Genomic DNA, 20,871 nt, shown 5'->3' with positions numbered 1-20,871 from the left:
TTTCCAAAATGGTAGCCATAATTTTTCTGACTTACAGTAAAAGGCATGGTTCTTTCATGCACGTCATGAAATGCATGTCAAGGAAGACTATATTTCAAATGTAGAGGCCTTAAATCCAAGGACAAGGTGTTTGCATAACATTCTACAGAGATGGGATGAACTCTGTATAAAAAATGTATGTAGTATGTAAGGTGAAAGAAAGATTAACGTAGTTTTGAAGAACAGACTTAAATGCTAAAGTTAAATATGAAGTGATATCTTAAAACGCATGAATGCATGTCAAGGAAAACTATATCTCAGTAAACTTATGTCCTTAATAGCTTTTTGTAATTGGTAAAATAAACACAAGTTGGCAATATTATACAGAAGACACAAAGTCAGTAAAATACTGCTTTTTTCTTCAAGTAACTCTTTTTCTTAGGGACTGTAAAATAGCATCACTAAAACTATTTGATCAAGCCCTGAGAAATTAAAAATAAATTAGGGCCCATAAATTTATCAAATATTTATAAAGTACTTATTAAATGTGTGATTTTCAGGAATGTCAGCTAGCTATAAGCATAATTCCATTTAGTGATGTAAATGGTATTTAAATAATAAAACATATATCCTGACATTTTTCACCCATATGGTGAAGTATAGCCATTGTTGAACTAACTTGCTCATATTCTAATCTATTGGAATAGTTCCCTATTAAAATAAATTTTCCTGTTAAGGAAACAAACTCTTAAATTATTGTTGAATGTGAAATTAAATTTGGCTATCTGTGGAAATCAAGTGTGAAATTGGTTTATAAAATGAATATGTGCTGTGTTCTTTAGGTAATGAATTTTTAAGTCTTTAAATTCCCCAAATCATTGCAAGACTGTACAGTTGCACTAATCAACATTAGAGTCGTGCTAGATTAAGAATGTTGCCTCTATTAATATCTTTGATATCATGAGTATCAATTCTGACTATTAGTTTAGGAGAACTGGAGAAATTATTATATTAAGTTATAATTTCAATGCAAACATGTTATGAGGCACATTTGCTTATCGATGCATAATGAGACTGACTAAATAATCCTAATGCTGAAAGGTCACAAGTCCCATCCATATATAAAGTCACTTAACTTTACACAGAGAAATACTGAGGCTTATTAAAATTTATTCATCAGACATTACTGAGTACATACTCTGTGCCAGCTCCCTATAGTCTGTTCTTCAAAACTATATTAATCTTTCTTTCACTTTACATACTACATACATTTTTTATACGGAGTTCATCTCATCTCTGTAGAATGTCAGGTAAACACCTTGTCCTTGGATTTAAGGCCTCTACAATCTGAACGACCTTGTAATTCTGGCTACAATTACTCTCCAACACAGATCTTCTGCCCTAGACAAGCTGTTGTTATTCTATTCACTTGTAAATAGAGATACTGTCACTGGATTGTTGTGGAAATTTAAGAAATGCCTGTGCCAAGGTAGTTTACAGTAAATGATAGAGTCACTTACCATTTTCTGATAGTCTGTTGATATTCAGCCCCATTCATACTTATTGCCAGCACTGAAATTTTAGTTAAATAAATAAATGAATAGTAGCATAGTTTTTATATATATTTACTAGCTTATATATACATATATACACACGCATGCATACTCATGATGATTAGAGTATTTGCTTAAGTTTTTATATAATTTCAACAATTTTTTAAAAATACATATTCAAATAAACAATTGAGATAACCTTAAATACTAAAGTTAGATATGAAGTGATATTGAGTCTTATTTCTAAATTACCAAATTCGTGGGGGATTTTATTTTTCTCTTTTATTTAACAGAGCATAAAACTATCACACTATATACTAATGCCACTTTTAGAAATGTCATGTTAGATGTTTTTCTTTAAAAGCATTTTGAATAGGTATTATGTGCTAGGCACAATGGATGGTGGGTTTATATATGTCATTGTAGTTAGTTACATATGTCTCACCTCCATGTGACTCTGGAACTTCTTGAGGCCAGGGAGCATACTCTATTTGTTACCATATCCATTGTGCTTTACTCAGCACAGGCTTGTTACTGACTTACTATATGATTTTGAGATGAGGGAATAAATTTCAAAGACACACTATGAAAAAATTCCTGTTTTATAAAAGGTTCCTGTACTAAGTAGCCACTAGGTGACAGCAAATATTTACAAATACATTTTTATTTTTTGTCACTAGGTGGCATTCAAATATTACTCTCAAAATAAGGTATAGCATCATAAATTTACCTTCATTTTTCTGAGTAGTCTTGTCCTTTTTAGTGAACATTTACAACACTTGCTTTAGTTGATCGAATCTTTGCTACCTACTTTTTCCTTTCTTTAATCATATCACTGGTAGCAATAGGTAATTTTTTAATGTTAATTTACTATCTGATTTTGAAAATAATAGCAAGCTTATTTTATCCCTTATAAATTTTTCTACTCATAGGAGTTGTGTGATGTTACTTTAAAATAATATTCTAAGGTTATAAGGGAATGTAGGTCATTATTTTAAAGTAACATCATAAAGTCATGATGGGAATATAGGTCATATGTCTATGGTTTAATACAATTTGGTCTGTCAAATAATGGATTCACAAAGGAGAGACACTCTCAGATTTTTAGCTATATCACCAAACTAGTTTCATTTACCTAAGTAGACTAGAAAATGTTTAACTGTTTTAGTTGTAAATCTTCATGAATTGTTACACAGCTCCCACACTGGCTCAATTTTAGTTCTTGCTACTCTTATTTTGGTGGAAAGGCTTACAGTTTACACTGAGTATATATATTTACCTACATTATGGATGGCTTAGCCGTTTGTAATATAAATTTAAAAGTTAGTAGACAGAATCTCCCATATTATATTTCAACTTTTGGTCATTTCTCTGTTTTAGTAACAAATAGTATATCATAATACTATAATGAAAATTATACATTATAATGAAAATTATAGATTACTAAATCTCATCTTCAACTAACTAAAGACAATTAACCATCCACATATTTATTTCATGAAATTAGTTATACAGAATTATAATTAAAATTATAATGAAGGAGTTAAACATGAAGGTTTTACTTTCTTTAATATTAGGACTAAATCGAGAGGGTTTGTTTTTCCTTTTTTTTCTCCTAAAATTAATAATTTAGGTAGGGAACATCTCTTCTCCTTTAATTAAAGTTTTAGGAGGTTAAAAACAATTTCAGTTAAGGATTCAGGAAAAAAAAATACAACTATGAAGTTTTACAACGTGGGTAAATTTTTAAAGTAAAATAAGTACCTTAAGTAAAAATAAAATTACTACCTATAGAACCATTGGCTAAGGAAATATGTTTCTAAGAAACTTTTCATTGAAATTCTTTGTTAATATCATCTTCTAATAATTTTTTCTCTTTGTTATACAGCTCTTATATGCTATTGTTGTGTTTTTAAATTATTAACCTTTGATTTCATTTAATTAATATATCACAAAGCTACATTAAATGCTATATTTAAAAATATTTTCTTTCAAGATACAATCTGAAGAATTATCCACTGTTTATTATGGTTCAAATGCATGAATATTTTTTCCATAGGTTAAGTTTACTGATAAATAAAAACCACTCCCTGTTCTTGTACATGAGTTTGTTAAAATGTATGTATTATTAATATGTATAAATCACAACAAAATCTGCTTTGTTTCGTGCAAAACAGTGAATTTTTTATTGTATTCATATTACATCTTCACACTCGCAGTCCTGCAAATTCGTGTCTTGGGAGGTAAAAGCTAATGTTATCCCCTCTGTGGTTTTGGTGATGACAGTATACAGAATTAGGATAAAAATGAATAGAATTAACAATGTTTTGTTGTTTTTATTCAGATGCACTTAACACTTACATTTTTCAGCAGTGTAGTCACATAAAATGAAACTAAAATAAGTTGTATACTGAATAAGAAAAAAAAATAACAAATGTCCTTAATGCTATGTAGAATTAAACTCCTTATAAAGAAAAATAATTGTCTGCCATAATATTGAGTAAGTTCAGTTCTGAAAGATAACATTTCTCATGTATCATTCTCAATTAAATGAGGCAGGACTGATTTTAATTAATTGGCAAAGTGTTGTGTCCAGTCACTATGCCTACCTTTTTAAAAATACTGCATAATGATGTATTTTTAAAACTTCACCTCTGACAGAATGGACTTTGATGTAATGTTTATGTTCAACTTTAATACATTAATTTCTGTCATCTTTTTGATTTGCAGATTGCTCTGGGAACAGTTACTAATGTGGAAGAAGCAGTGAAGTGGATAAGTTACACTTATCTTTATGTACGGATGAGAGCAAATCCATTAGCATATGGCATCAGTCACAAGGCTTATCAGGTAGAAAACTCATTTATTAAAAAAAAAATTCAGACCTTCTTTTTGGTTCTTTCATGATATGAGGATAGATATTTGTTTGCTGCTCTTGCCTCATCTGAAAAGAGGTACCTAGAAGAAAAACAAGAGATTTAATATTTTTCAAAAAATTAGATAGGCCCCTGTAGTTATTAGGCAGGCTATATTTAAATATCTTTTTCTACAAATACTTATGTTAATCTTTGTACTATTATCCATGTATTCAGGTATATTTCTATTTGATATTAATATTTTGGTGTGATTTTTTAAACTGTGAGAAATTTCGTTTTAGAATAAATTAGACATGAGGAAACTTATAGACCATATTTGATAATCAGCTTAGGTTATATACAATCTGTTCCTCTTATCAAGTCTCTTCTAATCCCTATTCTGAAATTTAAATATACCATTAAGGAGTTACTATCTTAACAGTTTGAGGACTGGAATCAGTTCCACTATTCAAGTCCATATACATAGACTGAGAATTAGATGCATTTGATAGCAGTTCTTCCTATGAACTTCACAATTGTGTGGTCCGTGTGGCTTATAGATTCTGTGAAATCTTGTCTTTCCTTTATAACTCTGCTTCATATATTGTAAATGTGTCCTAATTGCAGATAAAATCCAGTTGTTGTCTAATGAAAACATTATTCTACAATGATCATATGGATATTAACTAGTATTAAGTCAAAATTTGTATAAGTTGAACTTTATTCAAAATTATAGTTTCCCCTAATTTACTATGACTTAGTTTTTATATGAATCCTATTGTGTTATCAAAGCAGTTACCAATTTTTAAATTTTTATTTCTTTTATTTTTTTCTTTCCCTATGCAGTAGATTTTACCATGGGAAAATTGAAACTTAAGGCTTGCGGGAGGAAAAATAAGAAAAGCAGCAGCAGCAATTAGTTCTGAGGCTGTTAAATCTAAAGCCGTTATTAGGTTTTTATACTTAGATTTACTCTAGATGGGACTCACCTACCTTTCTTTGTCTCAGTTGAAATTTGTGCTAATCTTTAAATGAATGTTTACATTTACAGCCAAATTGCTCTGTTATAACATATAACTGCATTATAACCTGTAACCTTACACATTTAAAGAATATGGCACTAGTTATTCCCATCACAAATATGGGCATTTTGAGAAGACCCAGTGGCACTATGAAAATGTTTTGAAGGAGTAAAGAAAAACAAAAACTAAACAATTTATTTTTACGGACTAAGCCATCTCAAATTTTGGAACAAGATAAATACATCAATTGACTTTAAAGTACTAGGTTATAATCAAAAGTCATTTGCCTTTCATTTTCCAGTATAAAGACCTTTTGGATACATAGTACCTTTATACGTCAGAAAATCTTGACCCTTTTTTTTTTTTTTGATTTGTGTGTTTTAATGTTATTACTCAATACAAATTTGTGGCCACAAAACTCTTATGAACTAACACAGATAAAACAGTTTAGCATATTTTTGATGGTTTAGTAATAGGTGATTAATAAAATAGTTTTATAAGTTGAACCTGATACATATATTATCACTCATAGCAAACATTTAAGACTTTTTGTATTTGCTGATGTAACTCTTGACTCCATCTTACTTCCCTGCAGTTGATATTCTTTTGCTCCATTTTCCTGATTTTTAAAATTTATTTTAGCTATATTTTGTACATAAATAAGCTGCCATAAATATCTAAGTTAGAACAAATGGTAGTAGTGTTAACTCATTAATTGATTTCTAAATTGTTTTAATACTCCCCCTACTCCATTAAAGGTCATATTTCACTTTACTCCTCATGACTACAGAGTGTTCCTTAATAATTGGCATGTGTACATACATATATTTATACACAATACTATAGTAACAAGAATATTTGTTAATATCTTATGTTTTATTATTTCTGCTTAGAAAAAGTATTAGATAAGTAATAGTTTTAAAACTATACAAAAATTCACTGTCAACTTTATTTACTTTAGAATGGGTTCTCCCATCTGCATATAATAATAATAAAAGTAAAAAGTAAGTAAAGTGAGCCAAGATCACGCCACTGCACTCCAGCCTCGCTCTGTCGCCCAGGTTGGAGTGCAGTGGCATGATCTTGGCTCACTGCAACCTCTGTCTCCTGGGTTCAAGTGATTCTCCTGCCTCAGCCGCCTGAGTAGCTGGGATTACAGGCGCGCACCACCATACCCAGCTAATTTTTGTATTTTTAGTAGAGATGGGGTTTCTCCTTGTTTGTCAGGCTGCTCTGAAACTTCTGACCTCGTGAGCCGCCCACCTTGGCCTCCCAAAGTGCTGGGATTACAGGTGTGAGCCACTGTGCCCGGCCGGATAACTTTGCAGTTCTAAATATATCTTGATTTTGACAGGGAAAGCATTCTTGCTATCATTTCTCCAAATAACTGATAATAAAGTAGGAATATGATTTGACAATTTAAAATCCCTATTTACTTTAGTATGGGAGAAAGAAGACAATTATTGAGTTTTTAAAATTTGATTTTTAATCTTTGTGATTTTAAAGATCATAAGATCATATAAGAATTTTAGATTCCAAAATATTGGTATCTGAAAAGAATATGCACATTGATAATTTTAATGAATTTTTAAGCTTCCTTTATTTAATGGCATAAAATATTTTCAATTATTTCCTAAATGTAGAAAAATGTACTTTAAAAATTGTAATTAAAAAGTCTAACTAAAACATTAAGAAAAGTTTTAATTTCCATAAATAAATATATGTTTGCAAATGGTTACTCTCTAAAGCACTATTCAACTGTTTATATATTTTTTGCCATAGATTGACCCAACATTAAGAAAGCATCGAGAACAGTTGGTCATTGAAGTTGGACGAAAACTAGACAAAGCTCAGATGATTCGTTTTGAGGAGCGAACTGGATATTTTTCCTCAACTGATTTGGGTAGAACTGCCAGCCATTACTATATTAAATACAACACCATTGAGGTATTATACTAATGCAAATATGTTTGATTTTAGATGCAAATACTTTCTAGACTTCAAAATATATTATTAATGTAAAATAATGAAAGCAAATAATAGAACAAAATCCATTTAACTTATATGAATTCAACAGTATACCCTCAGTAAAGACAAGAAAAAAATAAAACTTCAGATACTAAGGAACCTCTTGTCATCCTATTCAATGAGTGTATCCCAAGCAATAAACACACCCAAGCCTAAATAGTCAAGGCACATTTGCTTTTACATGTAACGGTTTTCAGAAAACACCTCATGTGCTTACTAACTTTCCCCCGTCTTTCCCCAAATAAACCTTCTATTTGTATAGCACTTTAGGTTTCTTCAAAACCTTTAAACATATATTATCTCAGAACTATGATCCGGTTGAAATCAATCCAACACGTTGTCTCTGGCTTTTCACTCCTTCCATCACCTATTCACATCCACTCATTTTGTCAAAGTAACTTTTTAAATTTGTTCACTTGCTAGTGTGTTGCTACCACTCTATATCCTAAACCTGTTTGCTGTTCTTTTGCAGGAACTTTAGGCATTCTTTAGCATTTGTCTTCAATCTATGTGGCCTTTGACTGATTTTTTTCAACTCAGTTTTCTAATTTTCTGTATGTCCTCACTAGTAATATTTTGAGAATTTTCAGACTACATATTTTCTAGATATACATCTCTGAATTTTATGATACATGATCAGCTTAGAATTCGTGAATTGTGCAGATTTCCACATGGCCATGCTGAAAATAAGCACAAACCAGAATTTTATTAACTTTTTAAAGGTATCTAGTGTAGATGTTATTAACTTTTATTCACCATCCATCTTTTTGCTGCTAAAGATCTTCCTTAGCTAATTATGTTCTAGGAATTTTCTTTGGTCTTTGATAAATTTGTTGATGTTTATAAAGCAGTGACTTTAAATACTGTAACACAGACATTATAACTGCACTGTCTAGGGCTCAAATTTCTTTTAAAATGTGTAATTTATAGTCACATTTTTAATTTAAAATATTTAAAATATTTTTATTTTAATCAAATATAACACTTACTTTGGTAGACCTTTAATGAACTCTTTGATGCTCACAAAACAGAAGGTGATATCTTTGCCATAGTCTCCAAAGCTGAAGAATTTGATCAAATTAAGGTAAGATTTCTTGAAATTTGAATCAAATGCATACAACATGTATGCATTCATTCATTTATAAAAGGTTCTCATTAATACCATATAAGCTGTATGGCACATCACATTTGGAATATCAGCAATGTTCTTCATTTAACAATAAGACCCACTGTCCTAGATTATAATATTACATCATACCTGACATCATTCTTTTCTCTGTACTCCACATCAAATAATTTAAATTGGTTTTGCAGTAATGAAACTGTTGAAGAATGTAGTATGAAGATTTTGGTTTATTGCAATATAAGGCTCATTGAAGAAAATGTAAAAGTACCTGTATGATTCAAACCTTAGATATGAGTATTTCTGTACCTGTATTAATATTTAATCTTATTAACAGTGAAAACTTTAATACTTTGAATCATAGTACTTCATGGCTTTAAGCTATGAATGTATTATACCATATAAAAATATATGACTATAATGAATGCATTTGAAGATAATTCAAGTTGCCCTAATCCAGTTGGGCAGAGGTTTTACTCTGGTCAAATAAAATATGAAATCTCATCAATTCAAGGATGGTGAGGTCAGAAGATTTAATTTTTTGGCATATCAAATTTTTATATGTCAATGGCAAATTTAATATTGGTGATGAATAATAAAATGTAATTGTATCAGCCTCAAGATCATTTCATATTGCAGTTTTTTAGCTACCTATGGAAAAATCATTGTTATTTAACTCTATGAAAGAAAAATGCTGCATTATAGTAAATGGAAACTCTTTAAAAACATGCAATGTATTTAATTTCAATGTGAAAAATTTAAATAAATCAGCCCCAAAATTCCAATAAATACATTGATTCTTCTAGGTCAGAGAAGAGGAAATAGAGGAGTTAGATACCTTATTAAGCAATTTTTGTGAACTCTCCACTCCTGGAGGTGTAGAGAATAGTTATGGGAAAATAAACATCTTACTTCAAACTTATATCAGCCGAGGAGAAATGGACAGTTTCTCCCTTATATCAGATTCTGCATATGTTGCACAGGTAAGTATCTTATTCCCTTCCAGTTTTCTCTTCCTTGAATATATTTAGAGGACCAAGGTGTTAATTCATGCTGTGCTATGAATGCATTGCTTTGTGACATGCTACCAAACCACCATTTTACTTAGAACTGTTTCTGCTAATTTGTAAATATTTTATGTAATCTATGCTCATAAAACAGGACTGGGGATGAGATTTGGTGACTGATAGGGCTTTTTTTGGTGATGTTGATGTTTCTTACAAAGTTTTAAAATGATACCTGATTTTTTTCTACTTTAAATGATGAATTTCATTTCTTTTACTTATAAAGTAAAAGAATATAAAGTACTTATAAAGAGAAAAGTTAAAGAATATTGCAAGCATAAAGAAAAGATTGTGGAACTTTTTTAGATTTTTACCAAATATTAGAAATAATAATATTTTTAATCATTAAACAAGGCGTAGTAAACATATTTCCTACCATACGTTCAGTGTGATGTCTCTGGTTTTTACAAAAGTAATCTCTCCTCTCTACTGTTGAAACTTAAACATTGAGGACAGAAAGAAAATTATTCCCTAAACTACAGCTCATTTAATTTATAACTTTTAAAAAATACCATGGTATAAACTGTTCAAATATTTGTGTTTTTATATTCAAGCCCTTATGTGAAGTAAAGTAGGTTATATTTTACCCTATTTATCCTTCAAATGAAAGATTTCCCTTCTAGACATACTTTTTTAAAAAAATTATTTACCTGTCAAGGCTTTTTAATTTTATTTTATTGAGTACTTCCTTTTATAAATTAAGAAGAAATTAAAGCTTAATTTTATTTTAAATATGGAAATGATTCTGCTGTTATATTTGTAATTTTGTTCAAAGAAAGACTAAATATAGAAAAAGAATGTTTGTGTTAAATATATCATTATTAATAGCCATGAGTACTCAGGAGTCCTTTAAACATGGAATATTTACAAACACAAACCAAGACATATTGGTAAACATTTTGAATGCATGTAGTAATTTAATCAATGTAACCAAGATACCAGGTTATATAATTCATAAATTATATAAAGTTAATATAGATGTAGTGAAAATATTTATATATTCTTTAAACCCTATAGCTTCTATAGGAATAATTTTCTAATCTCCTTTGTTTTATCTGTTTTTCTGTAAAGTAATGTAATATTGTCATTTTATATTTTCTAATGATTTTATATTGAAATAGTTAATCATTTAAATAAAAGGTAAAGTTTTACTGGGTTCTGGATGAATAATCTGGCAACATTTCTGCTTGCTTCAAGATTATGAAGATATTATCAGAGACTGACATAAGAATTGCTTACAATGTAAAACTTTAATTCTCTTCATGATTGGTATCCAGGAAGTCAACTTCTGATTAAGGATATCTCAAAGCATCCCTGTTTTTTCTTAAACAGCCATTATGGATTTAGCATCCCTGAATGCATCAGATAAATTATACTTTATTACATTTTAAGTTTAAGCTATCAGTAATTGAACAACTACTCTCTCAACTCTGTAAAATGATATTTTCTTCTATATTTTTTAAACTTTCTCTCCTCAGCCCCTAAGGTAAACCTATAGCTCAAATATTCTAGGATTTTATTTAAAGGCCTATGCTTAACTTTTCTAGACTGTACATGTTATAGACTTATTATTTTGAACCAATTTATATCATTCTAGATTAACATGTCCTGTTTGTATCTTGTCATATGGAATTTCTCCTACTTCTTTTAGCATTGAGGGGATAACTGTAGATCCTGAAATATTAAAATGACATACTTTCAAAGGCAGGAAAATTAGCCTGATAGTTTTTTGTAAGAACAAGTGGGAATGAGGTAGGAAAACCTATTTGGTAGATACAGTAATCAAAATTTTATTTATTATTCTCTGGGCCTTATAAAGACCCATTCAGTCATTTTTAATGGATATCAGAACTGTCCTCATACTTCTATCTACCATTTTGTACTTTAATTTCTAATACTGAAACAAAATAGTCAAATTTATCAAAAGACAGCGCATATCTTATATAAAATGTGAAATGAAAGCCTTTAACTCATCTGTCATTTTTGACTTCATAATTTTAGGCTGGATTGTTTGTCTGCCATTTGAAATCTTTTCAGTTTTGTATCTCTTGTTTGGATTTTAACCAGACTGAACATTCTTTATTTTCAAATACAGATGTTACTGGATTTTGGAAGGTATAAGTTCATTTAAAAAACAATCTTTAATAAAACAATCTGCAAAGTTAATGATAGAGGAGTGGAGGCAAAATAAATGGGAGCTAGCTGTAGAAATGTGAAGAAAAAGACTACATTCATTATAACTTTCTATATGTCTATTAATAAAGTTATCCTCAGACCACTGAGTCTAGAATCTCAGTTATATTTGGAGTCCTTTAGTCCTGGCTTTGAGTAGATGCTCTGACACCAACTAGCAGTGTGACCTTGGTCAAATTTTTTACCTCTTTAAGCCCTAGTATATTCATCTATAAAATCATAATATTAATATCAATTAAATGCAATTTTTGTAAAAGTTAAATGAGGCAATATATGTAAAGCAAGTTAACACATTGTTTGGTTTATAGGAAGCCATTTGTATGGCCCTTTCATATGAGTAGCTACACTAATCAGTATTTCATTTGTCACCCTTCTCTCATTATTTTTTTTCCCTATCAGGATCCCAGTCTTCCTTAATCCTCTAAATAGCCTTGTAAATTTAATCATTCCACTATTCACCAAGAGGCGTCCTTGTCTCTTATAGTCAGATGCCTTAACAGCCTCCTAAATATTTTGCATGCCTTTTGTCTCTTCCTACTTCATTCCTGTTTAGAAGGTAGAGCTTTCTAAGAACTTGGAAATAAGGCTTCCCCTCTGAGAGTAAGCAAGTAGCATCCACATATAAAGGATAGGATTATTCTTATGTAGAAATAATAAGATAATTAGGATTATATGAGAAAAGATATTGCCCCACAATTCAAGGATGCAGCTTGACTTGCACTTCTTTTCAGACTGAGTTTGAATAATAGATTTATTGACAAATTTAAAAGCACATTGGGTATAACCACCAATCTCCTCCTATAATTTTTTAGAATGCAGCTAGAATTGTCCGTGCTCTTTTTGAAATTGCTCTGAGGAAACGTTGGCCTACCATGACCTACAGGCTCCTGAATCTTAGTAAAGTCATTGACAAGAGGCTTTGGGGTTGGGCTAGCCCTTTGAGACAATTTTCAATCCTACCACCACACATCCTAACAAGATTAGAAGAAAAAAAGCTTACTGTGGATAAGCTGAAAGACATGAGGAAAGATGAAATAGGTAAGAAGGAAGCAAATATGTTTGAATGTATTGTTTTGTGCAAATAAAATATGTTGCTGGGTGTAAAAGAAGGTATTGTGAATTTCCACATTAATCAAAATAAAAATTTTACCGTATTTATAAATCTTTTTCATTTATCTAAAATCAAGCGAAAATCTCTTTATATTCAAGTGAGTCTGTTTATAGTAGTTTAAACACTATCAAGTCTCAGTAATTTTAAGCACCCTATTAATAGCTAAAGAAACCTTGATACTGACTTTAAAAACTGTGAATTGCTAATTCAAGTTAACTATTACAAAATATTCAAACATGCCAGGTCAAGAATGTCAGCTATTCTACATAGCAAATCATAAAACAAGCAATAAAATCACCTTCTCTGAAATCCCATTTACAAGTCAGATTATATTGCTTTTTTCTGCCTGGACACATTTCTTCTATGTGATATTTTTCTTGCAGGTCACATTTTACATCATGTGAATATTGGACTGAAGGTCAAACAATGTGTTCATCAGATTCCTTCTGTTATGATGGAAGCATCCATTCAGCCTATCACAAGGACTGTCCTCCGAGTGACACTCAGCATCTATGCTGATTTCACTTGGAATGATCAGGTAGAAGTGGAAAACGGCTATATCTGTGTTAAACAAAAATATCTGTACTACAGACTCAACTACATCTGTTCCTAAGGCATATAGAAAATCCTCTAAAAAGAATATATATTGAGGATTTATTTTAAAAATTATAGCAATTAGCCGGGCATGGTGGTGGGCACCTGTAGTCCCAGCTACTCGGGAGGCTGAGGCAGGAGAATGGCATGAACCCGGGAGGCCTGAGCTTGCAGTGAGCCAAGACTGTGCCACTGCACTCCAGCCTGGGCGACAGAGCGAGACTCTGTCTCAAAAAAATAATAATAATAATAGTAAAAAATTATAGCAATATTTATTCTCATCCTCAAGAAAACCATGGTATATTAGTAATATGTCAACGAGTGAGATTCCTTCAAAACATTTAGGAAACCTAAATTTCAACAATGAACAACAGTTTAGTGGATTTAACTCCATAGAGATTTTGCTATATTAGTTCTATCTTCTTTTATTTTCTCTATGTTATCTTCATTTTTGCCATGTCTACTTTGTCATTTTAGCCTTCCAAAAAATTCAAGATTTTTCATGGTAAAAAGAGCCATTTTTCATCTTGATGTCTCTTAAATTAATATTCTTTCCTTTTTTGAAACATTAGACTTGTAGAAAAGTATTCTATATTTTCCCCCAATCACCTGTTTCTTTGCTGCTGAGACTACTTTCTCCATGATCTCCAAAGACTGATGGGTTGCCATAATAAATAGATTTTTCTCAGTTATTTTCTTTACTTCTCTGAATATTTAACACTATACAGTTTTTCAAAATGTCCATCCTTGATTCCCATCATGTTTTTGTTTCTGTTTTAATTCCTTCTTCTCCTTTGATAGCTTAGATATTATTATGTATATAAAGATACACACCAGATTCTCTTTTTATTCAATCAACATTTTTTAAAGATCTATTTTTGTACCAGTTACTATGTTAGAGATTGTAGGTACAAAGGCAAGTGAGGCTCAGTTCTTACATTCAAGAAGCCAATCAGGGAAAACAAGGAAGTCACTATTTATAGTATAGCAGTGCCTATTTCACACGTTATTGTAAAGTTCTAATTAAATAAGTATCTTCTGCATTACCTGATGTTTATACATCTTTAATGTCAATGAATTTTAACAGTATGCTCTAAAATTACCCAACCATGGTTTTAACCCAATTCTACGTTGGTCTTAAAAGTGTCTAAACCTTTAATTCCTTTAGTTTCCTCAGCTATAAACATTATTATTATAATAATAATAATGTTTTTTACAGAATTTTCATTGGGACTAGATGATACAAAATTATATTTAATATTTCTATAGATATAAAGTTTCACATAAATATAAATTTACAGTTACCCATAAACTCATATTTGAAATTTTAATAGACTATTTTTGAAATAAGTGGAAGTTTTGTATTTCTTACACTGTCTCCTACCAATATCTGTAATAAATCTGCAGTTTGATTTAATTCATTAGTAAGACAGAGTACTTAATGATTTTAATAGTTACCACTGTCAGGCACAATGCTGTTGGCTTCAAGAATGGAAAACTTGACTTGCCTCAAGCTGAGTTAAGGACGAAAGTATATTATCTTTCATAATGAAAGGTCCACAGGTAGAATAGGCCCTAAGGATGGTTGAGTCTTCTGTTTAAAGATGTCATTCAAAGACCAGGAACTTTTCACCCATTTGCTCTGCTGACACTTTTGGGTACTTCTCAAATGTTTTCAGGATTTTTTGTTTGCATTAAACAGAGCATGGGAAACACATCCCCACTTCTCCAGCCCAGAACATGGACCATAGACCTTTTCTTCAGTCTAATTGGGCCAGTATTTGTCATGTGCCTCTGCCTTACCACAGCAGTTGGGAGGGGAATCCCATGAGCTGATTGACTTATGCCAATCAAAATTATCCCAGGGGATGTGGTCACTTTTTCTTGAGTCACATGAGGGAGAGATGCTTGCTGAACAAGACTGGGTTCTGCAAGGAAGAGCGAGACAGAGAGAGTAAGAGAGAGAGAAAGACATTGAAATGGATAAAGCAAAATACAGTATATCTATCCAATGGGATATTATTAGACAATAAAAAGGAATGAAAGCATTGATGCATGCTAAAACATAGATGAACTGTGAAACCATCATGGTAAATTAAAAACTCCAGTCACAAAAGACTGCATATTATATGATTTTATTTAATTGAAATTTACAGATTAGGCAAATCTGTAAGGAAAAGGTAGTGACTACTAATGGGTACAAGGTTTCTTTTTGAGGTGGTGAAAATGTTCTAAAATTAGATTATGGTGATGGTTGTACAACTTTGGAAATATATTAAAATCATTTAACTGTATACTTGAAATGTTTAAATGAGTAAACTTTGTAATATAAATGATATATCAATAAAGCTTCTAGAGTGAGAAGATTGGATGCTATCCCTTATTTGAGTTATGATATGCATAGTAGCAGGATGCTATTTTTCTTCTAGGTACATGGGACAGTAGGAGAACCTTGGTGGATTTGGGTAGAAGATCCTACAAATGATCATATTTATCATTCAGAGTATTTTCTAGCTCTAAAAAAACAAGTAAGTGTATATATGTGAATATATCCTTATTTGCTATTGTAAAAAAAATTATACTAACAGTTTCTGCTTTTATTTCTCTGTAATTTTATAGTACAATTAAAACTTTATTTTATGTTTTAGTTTCCTATTAGTTTTAAAAGAATACAGTGATTAAATGTTATAGTATTGGTATATTCAATGTGATCATGGTTTAAGAAATTCACTTACCAGTAATGCCCCACATAGTGACATTTCAGTGAACAAGGGACCACATACACAACAACAGTACAATAGTGGTCCCATAAGATTATAATACTGTATTTTCACCTACTTTTTCTAGGTTTAAATATGTGTAGATAGGTAAGTACCATTGTGTTATAATTGCCTAAAATATTCAATACAATAACATGCTGTATGGTAACATGCTGTATAAGAGCAGTAGGCTTTGCCATGTAACCTAGATATTTAGGAGGCTATACCATCTGGCTTGTCTACGTACACTATGATGTTCTTAAGACAAAATTACGTAATGACACATTTTTCAGAACCATTCCTGTCATTAAGCAATGCATGACTGGATAATCTTTACCATGGTTTAAGACCTGGGTTCCAGAGGTGTAGAATATGTAAAATAGGTAGGATCAATAATAATCTTAAGGGTCACATGCACAAAATACTGAATACTATTGGATTAAAAGAGCATTTCTTCTAAATTTCTTTATAAATCACAAGACAAAGACTCAATTTGATGGTATTTCTTTAACTGATGCTTCATTCGTAATTTCTGTTTTTATCAAAGATAAAGCAAGCTTCAGGTAAGAGTCTTGGGTAGGCAACAGTAGAATTTCATAGCAGCGTTTTGTATTCATTGCTTTTGTCTGCTTGGTTACCTTCTATTTGTACCAAGTGATTGCGGTATTCCATTTTAGGTACTGATAGAACTTAACAAAAAATATTAAGTAAACAATATGGTAATTCGGTAAGGTAAAAATCATGAAGTTATGTAATTGAATGAATGATGTTTGGGAAATTCAGGTAGTCAAATTGGTAACTTGTTAATACATGATTATATGCATATGTAAATAATATAAATTAGCCATAAAATTTTACCTTCTATCAGGTATCCTCAGAAGGGCACCATGCACAATTTTCTAAAGTTTCCGAATATCTCAGCTATTTACAAATTCAAGATACTTTGTCTTTAGTATATCTTGTAGAGATACCGTTATCTTAACAATAGACTAATAAGGCCTTTATGCTATTAGAATATCCATATTTATTTTTGACTGTATTTCATATTAGGTCATTAGTAAAGAAGCCCAACTACTGGTATTTACAATCCCTATTTTTGAGCCTTTGCCTTCCCAATACTACATCCGAGCAGTGTCTGATAGATGGTTGGGTGCTGAGGCAGTATGTATTATCAACTTTCAACATCTAATTCTACCAGAGAGACATCCTCCTCATACAGGTAACATGGTGAATGCTGATTTGAATCATTGATTTTTCCAAAATGGTTGTTTTAATTAATGTTGAAAAATGTCTACACCGTAATAAAGTTTTACTTGTAATCATTATAACTTCTCTATAACTCCCTTTTTATTTCATTTGTCATTCATCATTTAATCTGTTCTCTCTGTAAAACTTTTATTTTCTCCCTTGCGTTTATTCCAGTTTACTTAAACTTATTTCTAGTATGTTAAATTAACTAACATACCAGTGAGTTATGGGGAATTTCCCCCCATCTTTTGTGTTTCTACACCAAAAACAAAAAAGCTAATATTAAGGAATCATATTATGGTATCACTATGGAATGGATTTCCACATACCTCAAGTGAGTTTGTGTCCTGCAAATAACATCTACCCTTTATATTAGTTTTTTTTTTTTTTAATACTTTAACTTTTAGGGTACATGTGCACAATGTGCAGGTTTGTTACATATGTGTACATGTGCCATGTTGGCGTGCTGCACCTATTAACTCGTCATTTAACATTAGGTATATCACCTAATGCTATCCCTCCCCCCTCCCCCCACTCCGCAACAGGCCGCGGTGTGTGATGTTTCCCTTCCTGTGTCCATGTGTTCTCATTGTTGAATTCCCACCTATGAGTGAGAACACGTGGTGTTTGGTTTTTTGTCCTTGCGATAGTTTACTGAGAATGATGGTTTCCAGCTTCATCCATGTTCCTACAAAGGACATGCACTCATCCTTTCTATGGCTGCATAGTATTCCATGGTGTATATGTGCCACATTTTCTTAATGCAGTCTGTCATCGTTGGACATTTGGGTTGGTTCCAAGTCTTTGCTATTGTGAATAGTGCTGCAGTAAACATACATGTGCATGTGTCCTTATAGCAGCATGATTTATAATCCTTTGTGTATATACCCAGTAATGGGATGGCTGGGTCAAATGGTATTTCTAGTTCTAGATCCCTGAGGAATCGCCACACTGACTTCCACAATGGTTGAACTAGTTTACAGTCCCACCAACAGTGTAAAATAAAAAACCCCATCAACAAGTGGGCAAAGGATATGAACAGACACTTCTCAAAAGAAGACATTTATGCAGCCAACAGACACATGAAAAAATGTGCATCATCACTGGCCATCAGAGAAATGCCAATCAAAACCACAGTGAGATACCATCTCACACCAGTTAGAATGGCGATCATTAAAAAGTCAGGAAACAACAGGTGCTGGAGAGGATGTGGGGAAATAGGAACACTTTATATTAGTTTTATCCCTCTGCCCTAACATTATAAAGGGGTACGTGGTAATCTTCAACATCATACAATAGTGTTTTTCACTGTCATACCTTGCAAAAATCCATTTTAAATTTTGGTGACGTGAACAAATACCTTTTTATTTTGACTTAATATAGAAGCAGATTTTTCAGGAATAAATGTTTACAATGATACTTTTAAGTGCCCTATGAAATACTCTATTTCAAAAAATCCTAAACTAATCTGTTAATTAACTAGTATAATAAGTTTATTTCTTCTTTTTCAGAATTGATTTTAAGAGGGCCTTAATTTATAGAAAAATGAAAGTCCATATTTTTTCTCATATGGTTCTTCCAAAGAGAAACCCTTTGTCATTTTCAGAATAAAAATATAGTCCTCACTACTTTTAATGAACTCATTATTTGGCAGTCCTTTGGGAATTGAAAGAGGTCTTAATGTGACTTTAAACTTTGCCATTTTTGTCAAATGTGTACCCTATTCATTATCTTAGCTTATCTTAAAGAGAGATACTTTATACTTTGGCTTAATTCCACTTTGATATCTTGGCAGAACAGAACTAAAAGGCTTGTCAACATAGAAAAATAATGAGATTGTAGTATCTAGTGATCTACTCATTGAAGGGAATCTTTCCAGTCTTCTTTCATCAAGTGTGCTACATGTAATATTTAGAATCTCAGAATAAAATATATAAAAAATGTTTGGTGCTTTAATTTAAAATACATGCTTCAAACATCATTAATCTTTGAGTATAGCACTTGATCTTAACTTGCGTTAACATTCTATTTCAATGTTCATTTTATCTTTTGTCTGCCAAATGACCAAGAATGTATCACCCTATTTATATAATTAGCTGAGTTCTGACTACAATTTTAAAAACAATAAATGTACCACCATAACATCTCAGTTGATATTAGACATATACAAAGTAACCTCAATGATTCCAGGGTCTCTTTGAATATATAGTCATTATCATTGAGCCCAAATGAGCCAAGAAAAACCTTCATCTTTCACTAATGTAAAGCACTGTAATTTAACATCATCAGTAAATATGCAATATGCAGTTTATTTATTTATTTATTTTTTAGTCTTTTTAAGAACATATCTCGGCTTTGATTAGCATTACAAGCATTAACTTGCAATGCCTCCCCTCCTTCCTTCTCTATTATTTTTTATTCATTTTATTTTATTTGTGAGACAGAGTTTCACTCTTTCACCCAGGCTGAAGTGAAGTGGGATGATCTGGGCTCACTGCAACCACCACTCGCCGGGTTCAAGCGATTCTCCTGCCTCAGCCTCCCGAGTAGCTGGGATTACAGGCGCCCACCACCACGCCCAGTTAATTTTTGTATTTTTAGTAGAGATGGGGTTTTGCCATGTTGGCCAGGCTGTTCTCGAACTCCTGACCTCAGGTGATCCATCCGCTTCGGCCTCCCAAAGTGCTAGGATTACAGGCTTGAGCCACCGCTCCCGGCCTCAATTTTCAGTGCTTCAGAAAATTTAAGAAACCTACAGTCTGGTGTAGAAAGTATGTCGTTAGCCCTCAGTTACCTATGTAATTAACTGAATAGAGCAGTGGGGAAAGGATAATTTTTTAAATTAATTTTTTGACTTTTAAAGACATTTTTTAAGAAGAAAATTTGCCATACTTTCATTTTGAAACAGTACCATGAACATCTAACTCAAGGTACAGAATACTATGTTACCTTATGGATTATTTCTTCTTGTTCAAATTTCAAATGACTGGATTTATCTTTCATGAAATAATCTTGAGAGTAAAGTGGCCTTCTGGTTTTCTAACTGATACCTTTCTGGATTATGGAAAATATAAGGTCTGTTGAATTCAAGGGTGTATAACTGTTTCTCTAAATTATTTTGTTTCTAATTCCCTAGGCCTCCCATCCACATAATAAGAAACAACTAAATCTAGTTTCTTTCTAGGTTTTCTCAGGGCAGGTTTTGTTTACTCAGTCATGCTTTGCTTTAAAACTCCCACCCAATTTTCTACCTGGAATTACCCTAAATTCATTTTACTTTCCATTGACAACAATAGTTAACTCAACTGCTCTTGCTTGGTCAGTGTCTAACAGAACAAAAGT

General features: G+C 31.5%; 1 protein-coding gene across 5 annotated transcripts in view; it reads left to right on the top strand.

Annotated features, from left to right (window-relative positions):
• ASCC3 (activating signal cointegrator 1 complex subunit 3) overlaps nucleotides 1-20,871 on the top strand; it is a 373,136-nt gene that overhangs the window by 221,249 nt on the left and 131,016 nt on the right. For all 5 annotated transcript variants that reach the window (NM_006828.4, XM_011535394.4, XM_047418108.1 and 2 more), the window contains 8 exons: nucleotides 4,263-4,382; nucleotides 7,192-7,356; nucleotides 8,435-8,521; nucleotides 9,367-9,543; nucleotides 12,630-12,855; nucleotides 13,312-13,466; nucleotides 15,952-16,050; nucleotides 17,332-17,500. In NM_006828.4, coding sequence (NP_006819.2) covers nucleotides 4,263-4,382; nucleotides 7,192-7,356; nucleotides 8,435-8,521; nucleotides 9,367-9,543; nucleotides 12,630-12,855; nucleotides 13,312-13,466; nucleotides 15,952-16,050; nucleotides 17,332-17,500 — 1,198 coding nt within the window. The remainder of the gene's footprint in view (nucleotides 1-4,262; nucleotides 4,383-7,191; nucleotides 7,357-8,434; nucleotides 8,522-9,366; nucleotides 9,544-12,629; nucleotides 12,856-13,311; nucleotides 13,467-15,951; nucleotides 16,051-17,331; nucleotides 17,501-20,871) is intronic.

The sequence above is a fragment of the Homo sapiens genome, chromosome 6 (assembly GCF_000001405.40).
Source record: "Homo sapiens chromosome 6, GRCh38.p14 Primary Assembly".
Classification (NCBI taxonomy): Eukaryota; Metazoa; Chordata; class Mammalia; order Primates; family Hominidae; genus Homo; species Homo sapiens.
Note: the sequence above shows the minus strand (reverse complement) of the source record. Positions and strands in the feature narration are given on the sequence as shown.